Raw genomic sequence first — 13,319 nt, forward strand, 5'->3', positions numbered from 1 at the left:
CTGCCCCTGTTTTTGTCAAGAGGAAGTATCTAGAATTTCAAATATTTAGCAACAAAAGTTTATTCCTTCAGTGGAAGATTTATAATAATGATAGGTGATAGGCCCACAAGGAGGACTTACAATGTGGAACTTAGTCTCTTTCCCTCACTCCTGTAGAGTAATTGCTTTCCCTACCCCTTTAATCTTTATACTACTTCTGCAAATGATAAAGGATGATGGCTCTATTGAGAATTTACAATTTTTTGTCATTTTTTTAATGTGGAGTTCACGTAACTTTGAAGATAGAAATGAAAAAAATGAACAAACTACAAAACATCAGTGAAGAGCTCCAGAGAAATATTTCTCTACAACTGATGAGTAACATGAATATCTCCAACAAGATCAGGAACCTCTCCACCACACTGCAAACAATAGCCACCAAATTATGTCGTGAGCTATATAGCAAAGAACAAGGTAATCTTGTATTCTCTTGGAGTTATTTATTGGACAATAAACTAAACCACTGAGTCTCTTAAGAATCATTTTATAATTAGCTAGCAGCCTTTCTCTAGGGAGTCATAATTTGGGGGAAAGAATTACATGTGGTTGATGGAGAATTCATTGATATTTCCACGCAGTTAGAAGAAAAACAGAAAAAGTAGTAACAACAATAGGCCCCCAAATTATCAGGAGATAATGGTTACATAATAAAATGTTAGACAAGACAGTTTCTCTAATCTGTCACTTACTATAATTATTCTGGGCACTGAGGTTAATAGAAGACAGGGAGGAAGTGACACCTCTTTACAGGTGACTTCATTCTTAAATTTCAGTCAGTGATTGATAACAAAGTCCATAGAAAAAAATAAATTGAGACTTCACCTTTGGGATCGGGGAGTTGGTCTTTTAGTGTCTCCATAAGTTTCTATAGTCATAGTTGCTAAAACATATTCCTTTTGCTCCTGAGAAACCTCAAAGTTTCAACATTTCAGAGAACAAAAATTAAAGAAGATAAGATTGGTATAGATAGGTGGGGTTAATTCTTACTATACAGAATGTTTCCAGTAATTAGTTTTTATTGTCTTTAAAGAATATACAAAATAACAAAGAGGAATTGACATAGGAAGACACACTTGAATCCAAGTGCTTAATTTGAAATTTTTTTGTTCAAGTTATGTGTCTGACACATTATGGTGGTATATAAGGAACTAGAATACAGGATTCACTTACTTCCCCTTCGATGTAAAAAAAAAAGAAACGGCATGTAATCCCAGCTACTTGGGTGGCTGAGGCAGGAGAGTCACTTGAATCCAGGAGGTGGAGGCTGCTGTGAGCTGAGATCACGCCACTGCTCTCCAGTTTGGGCAATAGAGCAAGACTCTGTCAAAAAAAAAAAAAGGGGGAAAGAGAGAAAGAAAAAGAAAGAAGAATAAACAGCAAATGTGATCAATGTCACACAGAGAGGAAAGGAAATAATAAGAATTATTATGACTATCAACAAAACCCAAATAAAACTATGTTCTTCTTCCAGAGCACAAATGTAAGCCTTGTCCAAGGAGATGGATTTGGCATAAGGACAGCTGTTATTTCCTAAGTGATGATGTCCAAACATGGCAGGAGAGTAAAATGGCCTGTGCTGCTCAGAATGCCAGCCTGTTGAAGATAAACAACAAAAATGCATTGGTAAAGCCCAGGTGTTTCTACCATCATGGGATAGAGAGGGGTGTGGCATGTTGGAGAAGACTTCAATCAACCCACTCATGATTCTGGTTTATTTCAGTTGGGGTGTGAAGTGACTGAAACTTTGTACACTTATCTCAAGATATCATAGGCAAGGTAAAACATACAAGTTTAGGACCTTAGCATAAGAGAAATATTACTAGCTGACAGGTAGATGAGTATTACAGGGCACCCAGAATCTATAGGTCTGTAAGCATTTCCAAATTAGAATCTAGAACCAAATCTCAGAACTTAATTTATAAACATTTATCTAAAAACAGAGGATACAGAGATTATTCCCCAGGATTAGCAATTCCATAAGAACTACATGGGAGAATATGTTTTGTTTCTACCATTTTGTATTTTTTAATTCACTAAGAGAAATAGGCAAGTTATAGTAGGTTAGCATAAAATATGTACAAACAAGAAGAACTGAAGTAAGATGGCACAGGCAAGTGTCAGATATATTGTACTGAGTCCTTGAATCCCAGGAAAAATGTGTTTTCTGGTAGCTTTATTGATTTATTCATTTTCTTAGTTTTCCATGTCTAAATAATGTTTCCATGTTACACTTATTACATAGCATTTTTGGTCTCTCACATAGCAATCATATATTTTTAAGCAAAATTACCTTTTCTAAAATTCTCTGCTTCCCCACAATAAGAAACTTTCATCATCCTTTATAGAAGAGAGATAAATCAACCCACAATCTCTTCCTCATCAGATCATTGTCAAGTGACCCATTCACAGTTACTTACTCTAGAAAAAATTTTTAAAGGCTAGAATAAGAAAAAAACCTGTTATTTGGCTACAAAATTCTGGACTGGTTCTGAATTCTGTTCTGTAACCACTCACATCTGAGTGTGTGGCATTTTTTTCCTACTCTTTCTGTTTCTATTAACTCTTGTTTATAGCCATTACCCACCTCCTTTGGCCCTGGACACAATATTTACTGCTCAAATTTTTTAATCTTGAACTTGTCATTGTGAACTCTTCACTGACTGTAAATTAAGGTTGTACATGGATTAGTAGGGCCTCTCTTCTTGTGAGACCAGCAATGATATTGTTAAAAATATTGAAATTTTGTAGTAAGGAGTACTTTCTTTCAATTTCTTATAATGACATTTAATAGTAGTAGTGCAATGTCCAGTATGTTACCTTAAAACAGCAATTTGTAAGAAATTACATTATAATGTAAAATACAAAAGTAGGAGACTGTTTCTTAAACAGACTATCTGTATTTCCTGTAGGAATTTATAAAATCCCAGAGTAGATCATATGACTATTGGCTGGGATTATCTCCTGAAGAAGATTCCACTCGTGGTATGAGAGTGGATAATATAATCAACTCCTCTGCCTGGTAAGTGTCTATTCTTGTTAGAATTTTATAGCTGGGTTTGAGTAGAGGTATTTTCCTTAGGAGCACTGTAGATTCAAATTAAAACCAGCTTCAATTGAAATTGCATGCTAAAAGAACCCTTTTCTATCATGCTTCTTTGATGTATTTTCTAATACATAAAGTTACCATAAATGCCTTCTCATAATTTTGACAAGTAACTAACAAAATTACAGCAGCCAAATTATGGAGAACTCTGTAAATAATTTTATCTAAGAAAAATTGTGGAAGCCCAGAAAAGTCATTGGACTAACAAGTACTTAATATTGTGATAAGTTCTAGGGTTCAAAGATGAATGAAATATTGATTCATCATTAAAGTTACTTAACCATCAATTTTATGTGCAGACTGATTGAATTATGCTAGAGATAAAGAGAATATAGTGTGATAAATGCTTCAGTAAGAATACACAGACTAACAAAACATAAATTTTTGCAATGATACTTTTGTTATAAATGACACTTCAAATGGGCATTTTAAAAAGTTTATGGATTTAGGGGGTACGATTGCAATTTTGTTATATAAATATATTGCATAATGATGAAGTCAGTGTTTTCAGTGTAACCATAACCTGGATAGTGTACACTGTACCCAACAGGTAATTTCTCATTCTTTATTTTCTTCCCACCCTCCTACTTTTTGGAGTCTCCAATGTCTATTATTCCACTTTTTATGTGCATGTGTACATATTATTTAGCTCCCACTTAAGTGAGAATATGCAGTATTTAAATTTACGTTCCTGAGTTATTTCATTTAAGAGAATGGTCTCCAGCTCCATCCATTTTGCTGCAAAGTCATGATTTCCTTCTTTTTTATACTTGAGTAGTATTTCATGGTGTATACACTCTAAAAGAAAGCATGGTTTCATGTTTTCTTATGCAATAATCCGTTGATGGACACTTAGGACAGTTCCATGACTTTGCTATTGTAAATAGTTCTACAACAAACATTTAAGTGTAGGTGTCTTTTTTTTAATATAATAATTCCTTTCCCTTTGGTTAGATACCCAATAGTGGAATTGCTGGATCAAATGGTAATTCTATTTTTAGTTCTTTGAAAAATTGCCATAGAGTTTACACTAACTTCCATTCTGAAATGGGCATTTTTGAATGAAAAATTTAAAGACTGGTTTAGAAGAGCACTTCAGGTGAAAGAATATAAACTTCAGCTTAATATATCACATATATAGTATAGATAAAATAATTTGTTGTGTAGTATAATGAGGAATGTGGTTATAAATATACTATTTTAAGTGGATTTATACGTTGTATTTGTTCTGCTTATAATGGGAAAAAAAGTCTTTACATATAAAAATAGTGGCAAATTCCATTTGTATTTTTTAATCTCTGAAATTTGGGAAGCAGAAAATATCAAACGAAGAAAGAAACCAGAGTCTCAACCTGCTGGACACTATTGGAAGTCCATCATTTAACACGTTTTTAGTATATACTTTTAGCAGGAGACAGCTCTGAGTCAACTGTGTTGAGGTGCCACCACAGCGAGTTTAGGCACTCAGATCCCTGCATACTCATCACATTGGGCCATAATGGCAAATAGAATTTTTTGTTTTGTTTTGTTTGTTTGCTTTTTCTTTCACATAGAAATAGTAAGTGTAGGAGTGTGGGTCAGAAAGAAAAGGTGGCCCTACCTCTGATGGTTGGCAATGATAGGATACAATGGGAGATAAGCTATCTACAAATGGAGTGGAGAAGGATATATATTTCAAAGGCCTAATTTGTAGTGAAAGACTAGAGACAAAGGTAATGTGTGTGTCAGGAGAGAGTACAGATGGAATCTTGTTTTGCAAACGTAGAATATGTATGTGTTTGTAATTATTGCAAATGGAATGGTAATCTATAATGGAATGGAAAACATTGTAGATATTTTCAGTTATCAAAAAGAAAACTGAAAAAGTATATAATAATTGTATGTATGATATATATATGTGTGTGTGTGTGTATATATATCTTCACTTTATAACTCTGTGTTGTTTTGGGGTTTGTTTCTGAAAGGGGGTTGTAATAAATGACATCTGTACTATGTCACCACAAATAAATCTCATTCTTAAACATTTAATTGATGAACTTATTTACTGGTTGATATCATTATTTTTTTACCCAAGTATTGATGCTAAATTAATCTAAAAGGTAATATTTTTAATTTATAAATTTGTTTTTAGTGCATAGTCCCTGATCACTAATCTAGTATTTATGGGCTGGTCATTAGAACTTCAGAGTAAAATCTTTTGCCAAGTGTCACTTAGAGATGATGTTGAACTTCAGGTGTCATATATCTCAGGTGAATTCCTGACTTTGATGATTATAAAAAGCACTTGAGGGAGAAAGGGTCCAAGTCTTACTACTCCTAGCCAGTTAGACTAGGAGAATCTTATGGAATGGTATTATTCCAAATTATATTATATATGAAGGGGCTGGGGTGCTAACTCTGTAAGCAAAGGACAGCAAATATCAGATGTTAGAAAGTGGAAAAAGCAGGGAGAAATGAAGCAGTATTTGACATTGCATATGTGTTAACATAAACAATTAACTCGGACATTCTTGATACTCTGAACATTAAATTAGATTTAGTTTAAACAACACAGAGTCTAGGGCAATAATATCATGTTGGAAGTGTAATTTTTTTTTCTGTGAATATGTTTCAAATATCTGACTTGCCAAGTGTAATTCTTTACTTTCTCTTTCAGGGTTATAAGAAACGCACCTGACTTAAATAACATGTATTGTGGATATATAAATAGACTATATGTTCAATATTATCACTGCACTTATAAAAAAAGAATGATATGTGAGAAGATGGCCAATCCAGTGCAGCTTGGTTCTACATATTTTAGGGAGGCATGAGGCATCAATCAAATACATTTAAGGAGTGTAGGGGGTGGGGGTTCTAGGCTATAGGTAAATTTAAATATTTTCTGGTTGACAATTAGTTGAGTTTGTCTGAAGACCTGGGATTTTATCATGCAGATGAAACATCCAGGTAGCAAGCTTCAGAGAGAATAGACTGTGAATGTTAATGCCAGAGAGGTATAATGAAGCATGTCCCACCTCCCACTTTCCATCATGGCCTGAACCCTGGAGGAAGAGGAAGTCCATTCAGATAGTTGTGGGGGGCCTTCGAATTTTCATTTTCATTTACGTTCTTCCCCTTCTGGCCAAGATTTGCCAGAGGCAACATCAAAAACCAGCAAATTTTAATTTTGTCCCACAGCGTTGCTAGGGTGGCATGGCTCCCCATCTCGGGTCCATCCTATACTTCCATGGGACTCCCTATGGCTGAAGGCCTTATGAGTCAAAGGACTTATAGCCAATTGATTGTTCTAGGCCAGGTAAGAATGGATATGGACATGCATTTATTACCTCTTAAAATTATTATTTTAAGTAAAAGCCAATAAACAAAAACGAAAAGGCAAGTTACGAGACTGACTTATTTTTAACTTCTGTGTGTTGAGCTACTGTAAGCTTGGCTTTTGTTAAAGACATACAGCAATTAGCTATGCAAACATAAGCATTGTTCTGAAAAAAAATATATAGATAGATATGTTTATCTCCATAACTCATAACTGGGAGTATTATACCCAAGAGGCTTTGTTACAAGGTATTTTTTATCCTGTTAGTAAATATTTTCCTGTAATTCTATAATAAGCAAATAAATTTTCATGGTTGGGGTAGATGCAAAAGTGACACATAATCGTTTAGAAAGCAACTAAACTTGTTTTACCAGCTGTTTAGGCATTTTTGTAACCCCTCCTTGATTTGGAGGTTTGACCTTGACCTAATTTTTTTCTTTAAAACCAGCCCTTACAATCTTCTGCCCCCTCCTCTTCTGTGACAGTAGCTGGGCCTAGAGGGAAGGGGGCTTGTATAGTTTGTGCAGCAGAGCATTCTCAGTGAAATACAGATCCCGGCCCAGTGGGATGCCAAAATGACGGAGAGCCACATCTCTGATCTTCAAAATATCATGATTTGGGTTTTCCTGGAAGTAAAACAAGAAGAGATAAATAACATTTACAGTTTGATCATTAAAAGAGCAATTTGTGCGTCAGAACAGAAAAAGGAACCTATTCCATTAGGGTACCAACTAAAAATACGAAGAAAAATTATAATCTGGTACTTGCTAGTGGATTACCATAGCCAAAAAATGATGTTTCAGTCTCCACTGAAAAAAAAAAAAAAAAAGATTAGGACTGAAATTGAGTATTAAATGTTTTCCTTTGAAGCAATTCCTTTATCCCCCCCCCCCTTTTTTTCTATTAAAGAGAAATTATAGCAAGACCAATTTGTGTGCAAAATAAGTTTTCGGCTTATTATACTTGGCCTGGTAATTTTGCATAAAAGGCAGCAAGGGTTGGGTATGGTGGCTTATGCCTGTAATCCCAGCACGTTGGGAGGCCAAGGCAGGTGGATTGCCTGAGGTCAGGAGTTCAAGACCAGACTGGCTAACATGGTGAAATCCCATTTCTACTAAAAATACAAAAATCAGCCAGGCGTGGTGACACACGCCTACAGTCCCAGCTACTCGGGAGGCTGAGGCAGGAGAATCGCTTGAACCCGGGAGGCAAAGGTGCCAGTGAGGTGAGATTGCACCACTGCACTCCAGCCTGGGTGACAGAGCAAGATTCCATCTCCAAAAAAAATTAATTAATTAATTTAAAATGCAGCAAGAATTGATTGGCCATATAGGCTTCTTTAAGTTGACCTTGACTGAACTTTACCTAAAAATATGCTATTTTAGTTAAAGTCTTAGTAAAATAACCAGTGTCTCAAATTCTTTTATTTTAAAAGATGCTTTTTGAATTTATGCAAATGACTATACTGTCATAAAATCACAATCCAAATTTTAGAACTCAAAGAGAAATATAAATTTGCTTACAAAAACATACTTCACTCAAATAACTCAAAAGAAAAAGATTTTGTTGACCCTGCTTTAACCAGAGCCAGAGCTTTCAAACAATGTTTATTTGGGAAATGCCATTTACAAGCCAACAGCTCATGAAAGCTGTCTATCAGGCATGGTAGAATCTAGGAAAGAGGCCCCCTACTTATCAGTATTTTCTCCTAATATCCCCAGGTAGCAAGATTCTATGTAAATCATTTTTATTTTTTTATGGAACTCTTTTGGGCACCATCATTTTTATTAGCATAGGGGTGGCTTCAGTTAAAATTCCATAGCAAGGCAGTACATGGCTCTCAGGTGGAAATTCTCTGTTCAATATTGTCATTGGGAAATATTTACAGTTTTTTGCCATCAGCCCCAATAAATGTGCCACAAATGCCACAAATGAAATGGAGGATTTGTCCTGACTAGCGCTCTAGCTTCTACCCAATACTTTGTGGGCTGAGGCAATTTTACTAGTTCCCATTCAGCATGTTCAATTAACATTTACTAAAAGAGCAGATTTTTATGCCTTCAGCTTTATAGTACTAGAAAGGGGAAACATCTCCCAGTCAGATATAGTACCCATTTTCACATGACATTTAGGTAAAGGGCTTACAACTACCTTCCATAAAGTTTGTTTAAACATCTTAAATTTTATAATTCTGTTAACCTGTATGTTTTTGTTTGTTTTTTTGTTTTGTTTTGTTTTTAGCCCCAGATCATTTTACCTTTTCTTTCTTTCTTTTATTTATTTATTTTTTTTTGAGACAGAGTCTCGCTCTTGTCACCCAGGCTGGAGTGCAGTGGCATGATCTTGGCTCACTGCAACCTCCGCCTCCTTGGTTCAAGTGATTCTCCTGCCTCAGCCTACCAACTAGCTGGGATTACAGGTGCCCACCATCACACCTGGCTAATTTTTGTATTTTTTGGGCTGTGGACTGTTGAGTTAATGCTAAAATGAGTTAAGACTTTGGGGGACTTTTGGGAAGACATGATTGATTTTGAAATGTGAGGACATGAGATTTGGGAGGTCCAGGGATGGAGTGATATGGTTTGGCTGTGTCTCCACCCAAATCTAATCTTGAATTGTAGCTCCCATAATTCAACATGATGCAGGAGGGGACCTGGTGGGAGATAATTAAATCATGAGGGTGGTTCCCCTATACTGTTCTCATGTTAGACCTAAAACCATAAAAATCCTAGAAGAAAACCTAGGCATTACCATTCAGGACACAGGCATGGGCAAGGACTTCATGTCTAAAACACCAAAAGCAATGGCATCAAAAGCCAAAATTGACAAATGGGATCTAATTAAACTCAAGAGCTTCTGCACAGCAAAAGAAACTACCATCAGAGTGTACAGGCAACCTACAAAATGGGAGAAAGTTTTTGCAATCTACTCATCTGACAAAGGGCTAATATCCAGAATCTACGAAGAACTCAAACAAATTTACAAGAAAAAACAAACAACCCCATCAAAAAGTGGGCAAAGGATATGAACAGACACTTCTCAAAAGAAGACATTTATGCAGCCAAAAGACACATGTAAAAGTGCTCATCATCACTGGCCATCAGAGAAATGCAAATCAAAACCACAATGAGATACCATCCCACACCAGTTAGAATGGTGATCATTAAAAAGTCAGGAGACAACAGGTGCTGGAGAGGATGTGGAGAAATAGGAACACTTTTACACTGTTGGTGGGACGTAAACTAGTTCAACCATTATGGAAGTCAGTGTGGCGATTCCTCAGGGATCTAGAACTAGAAATACCATTTGACCCAGCCATCCCATTGCTGGGTATATACCCAAAGGATTATAAAACATGTTGCTATAAAGACACATGCACATGTATGTTTATTGCAGCACTATTCACAATAGCAAAGACTTGGAACCAACCCGAATGTCCAACAGTGATAGACTGGATTAAGAAAATGTGGCACATATACACCATGGAATACTATGCAGCCATAAAAAAGGATGAGTTCATGTCCTTTGTAGGGACATGGATGAAGCTGGAAACCATCATTCTCAGCAAAGTATTGCAAGGACAAAAAACCAAACACCGCATGTTCTCACTCATAGGTGGGAATTGAACAATGAGAACACCTGGACACAGGAAGGGGAACATCACACACCGGGGCCTGTTGTGGGATGGGGGGAGGGGGGAGGGATAGCATTAGGAGATACACCTAATGTTAAATGACGAGTTAATGGGTGCAGCACACCAACATGGCACATGTATAAATATGTAACTAACCTGCACGTTGTGCACATGTACCCTAAAACTTAAAGTATAATAATAAAAAAAAAGAAATTACAAGTGCTGCTCCAATGAACACACAAATAGTAAGAAAACAAGATAGCCTTATTGCTGATATGGAGAAAGTTTGGTGGTCTGGATACAAGACGAAACCAATCACAACGTTCTCTTAAGTCAAAGCCTAATCCAGAGCAAGGCCCTAACTCTTGTCAATTCTGTGATGGGTGAGAGAGGTGAAGAAGCTACAGAAGAAATGTTGGAAGCTAGCAGAGGTTGGTTCATCAGGTTTAAGGAAAGAAGCCTTCTCTCTAACATAAAAATGAAAGATGAAGCAGCAAGTTGTGATGTAGAAACTGGAGCAAGTTATCCAGAAGATATAGCTAAGATAGCTGAAGGTGTCTAGATGAAACAGCTTTGTATTGGAAAGACATGTCATCTAGGATTTTTATACCTAGAGAGGAAAAGTCAATGGCTGGCTTGAAAGCTTCAAAGGACAAGCTGACTCTCTTGTTAGGGACTAATGCAGCTGATGACTTTAAGTTAAAGCCAGTAGTCTTTTATCATTTCAAACGTCCTAGGGACCTTAATAATTATGCTAAATGTACCTGCCAATGCTCTATGAATGAAACAATGACGTCTAGATGAAAGCACATTTGTTTATAGCATTGTTTACTGAGTATTTTAAGCCCATTGTTGAGAAACACTGCTCAGAAAAAAAAAAGGTCTTTTTTTCAAAATATTACAGCTCATTGACAATGCACCTAGTCACCCAAGAGCTCTTATAGACATGTACCGGGAGGTTAATGTTTTCAGTCCTGCTAACACAGCATCCTTTTCTGCAACCAACAAATCAAGGAGTAATTTTGACTTTCAAGTTTTATTCTTTAAGAAATACACATCATAAGGCTATAACTCCCACAGATACTGATTCTTCTTATATATCAGAGCAAAGTAAATTGAAAACCACCTGGAGACAACTTACCATTCTAGATGCCATTAAAAAGATTTGTGATTCATGGAAGGAAGACAAAGTGTCAACATTAACAGACACTTGGAAGAAGTTGAATCAAACCCTCATGGATAACTTGCAGGCGTTCAAGACTTCAGTGGTGGAAGTAACTGCAGATGTGGTGGAAATAGCAAGAGAACTAGAACTGGAAGTGGAGCCTGAAGATGTGGCTGAATTGATGCAATTTTATCAGGAAACTTTAACAAATGAGGAGTTGCTTTTTATGGATGAGCAAAGAAAATGGTTCTTGAGACAAATATTATTCCTGGTGAACATGCTGTGAACATTGTTGAAATGCTAATAAAGTATTCTGAATATTGCATAAACTTAGTTGATAAAGCAGTAGCAGGATTTGAGAGGACTGACTTCAATTTTGAAAGAAGTTTACGATGAGTAAAATGCTATTTAACAGCATCGCATTCTACAGATAAAAATTTCATAAAAGGAAGACTAAATTGATGCTACAAACTTCACCATTGTCTTATTTTAAAAATAGCCACATCTACCCCATCCTTCAGCAACCACTGCTGTGATCCATCAGCAGCCATCAACATCAAGGCAAGACGCTACACCAGCAAAAAGATTTTCACTCACTAAAGACTCAAATAATCAGCATTTTTAGCAATAAACTATTTTTAATAAAACTATGTACATTTTCCAGACATAATGCTGTTGTATACTTAATAGAAGACGTTGTAGCTCAAACATAACTTTTACACGAATTGGGAAAGCAAATAATTAATGTGACTCACTTTATTGCAATAATTGCTTTATTGTGGTGGTCTGGAACTGAACCCACAATATTTCCGAGGCATGCCTGTAAGTTAGTTTTAAATTGAAGAAGACAGAAGTCAAATTTTGCTGGAGTTCACTTAGATGACATGTAGAAGATTTAGTATTTGAAATGAGGTGGTCTGATCTGTGCTACTAACGTTTGTGCTATTTTGATTTTATGTATAAGATACTTTAGATATGAATACCAGAAAAAGAATCACAGTGATTGGCCTACATTTTTAATTGTATTGTTGCCATGCACTAAGATATTATTCTTCTAAGTTTATGTGTGCTATAGGGATGTATACACATATGTTTTTCCATTTTAGGGAGATGAAACAAAGTTGAGTTGCTAATTTTGTACAGTTTTCTGAATTATTGGTTCCTATTTAGTTTCTCTAAATAGACAATTCAAAATAAAAAACATACTGATACCATCACCCAAATCCAAGATCTCCAGACATTTGAAGTAACAAGTAAAATTTGAGGTATTTCTATTATTTTTCCTAAGCCCTCCAAATCTGCTTAATTATTGATAGGCTAGAAAAAAGATAAAGATTCAAGTGTCTTTCAGTGTTAGCGCACAAAGCTTTAAGAGTAACACATATTTATTGAGTATGTATTACATACTTGGTATTCTGATCGATACTTTATATAATCATATTAAATGAGCTTCACAATTAACTTATGAGCAAGGTAATAATATTAAACCCATTTCAAGGTGAGAACATTACTTATCCAAAGCCAGATAGAGAGTAAGTTCTAAAGTAGTGATATTTCTCTAACTGTATTAAAGACTACTTGTATGAGAATTGTGTCGTGATGCTGGTAAAAACCCAGGTCTCTGTGTCTCCTCAGTCTTCCCACTGAGTAACATCAGCATTTGAGTTTCCTATTTGGTTTCTCTATGTTTTAACCAAAACCTCCGTTGAGATGTTTGAGAATCATGTTCGTAAATGGTAGCCACTAGTTAAAAAAGGGAAGCTGTGGGAAAGAAATGCAATTTTTTCCTATTATCCTGTAAAAGGGTGCCTTTCCACATATTCTGTAAATACTTCCTGAGTTACTCAGCAAAAATAAAGCACAGAACTGTTAGGAAAATACTAATTAAAGCATTTTTACTTGTCCTTCTGTCTAGTAGCCTCTGAAACTTAAGAAGCATTTATTCATTTTACAAACCCAGTGAGTTTTCTTGCAAACTTTCTTTTCCTTCTCTAGCGCAGAAAATTACTACTGTTGAATCTAACCAGAGGTAGACTTGGAATAGTAATTCTATTTGCGT

At 35.7% G+C, this 13,319-nt stretch overlaps 1 protein-coding gene across 16 annotated transcripts in view; it reads left to right on the plus strand.

The window, feature by feature from the left end:
* Window positions 1-13,319, plus strand: part of CLEC12A (C-type lectin domain family 12 member A) — a 54,883-nt gene that overhangs the window by 27,804 nt on the left and 13,760 nt on the right. For 8 of the 16 annotated variants that reach the window (NM_001207010.2, XM_047428397.1, XM_011520570.1 and 5 more), the window contains 4 exons: window positions 265-453; window positions 1,511-1,662; window positions 2,949-3,058; window positions 5,799-6,524. In NM_001207010.2, the coding sequence (NP_001193939.1) occupies window positions 265-453; window positions 1,511-1,662; window positions 2,949-3,058; window positions 5,799-5,955 (608 nt within the window). In that variant the 3' untranslated portion in view covers window positions 5,956-6,524. Of the gene's footprint in view, window positions 1-264; window positions 454-1,510; window positions 1,663-2,948; window positions 3,059-4,458; window positions 5,183-5,798; window positions 6,525-13,319 lie in introns of those variants that run through there. The other 8 variants (XM_047428399.1, XM_047428400.1, XM_006719035.4 and 5 more) reach the window with 2 other exon arrangements.

This window comes from Homo sapiens, chromosome 12 (assembly GCF_000001405.40).
Source record: "Homo sapiens chromosome 12, GRCh38.p14 Primary Assembly".
NCBI lineage: Eukaryota > Metazoa > Chordata > Mammalia > Primates > Hominidae > Homo > Homo sapiens.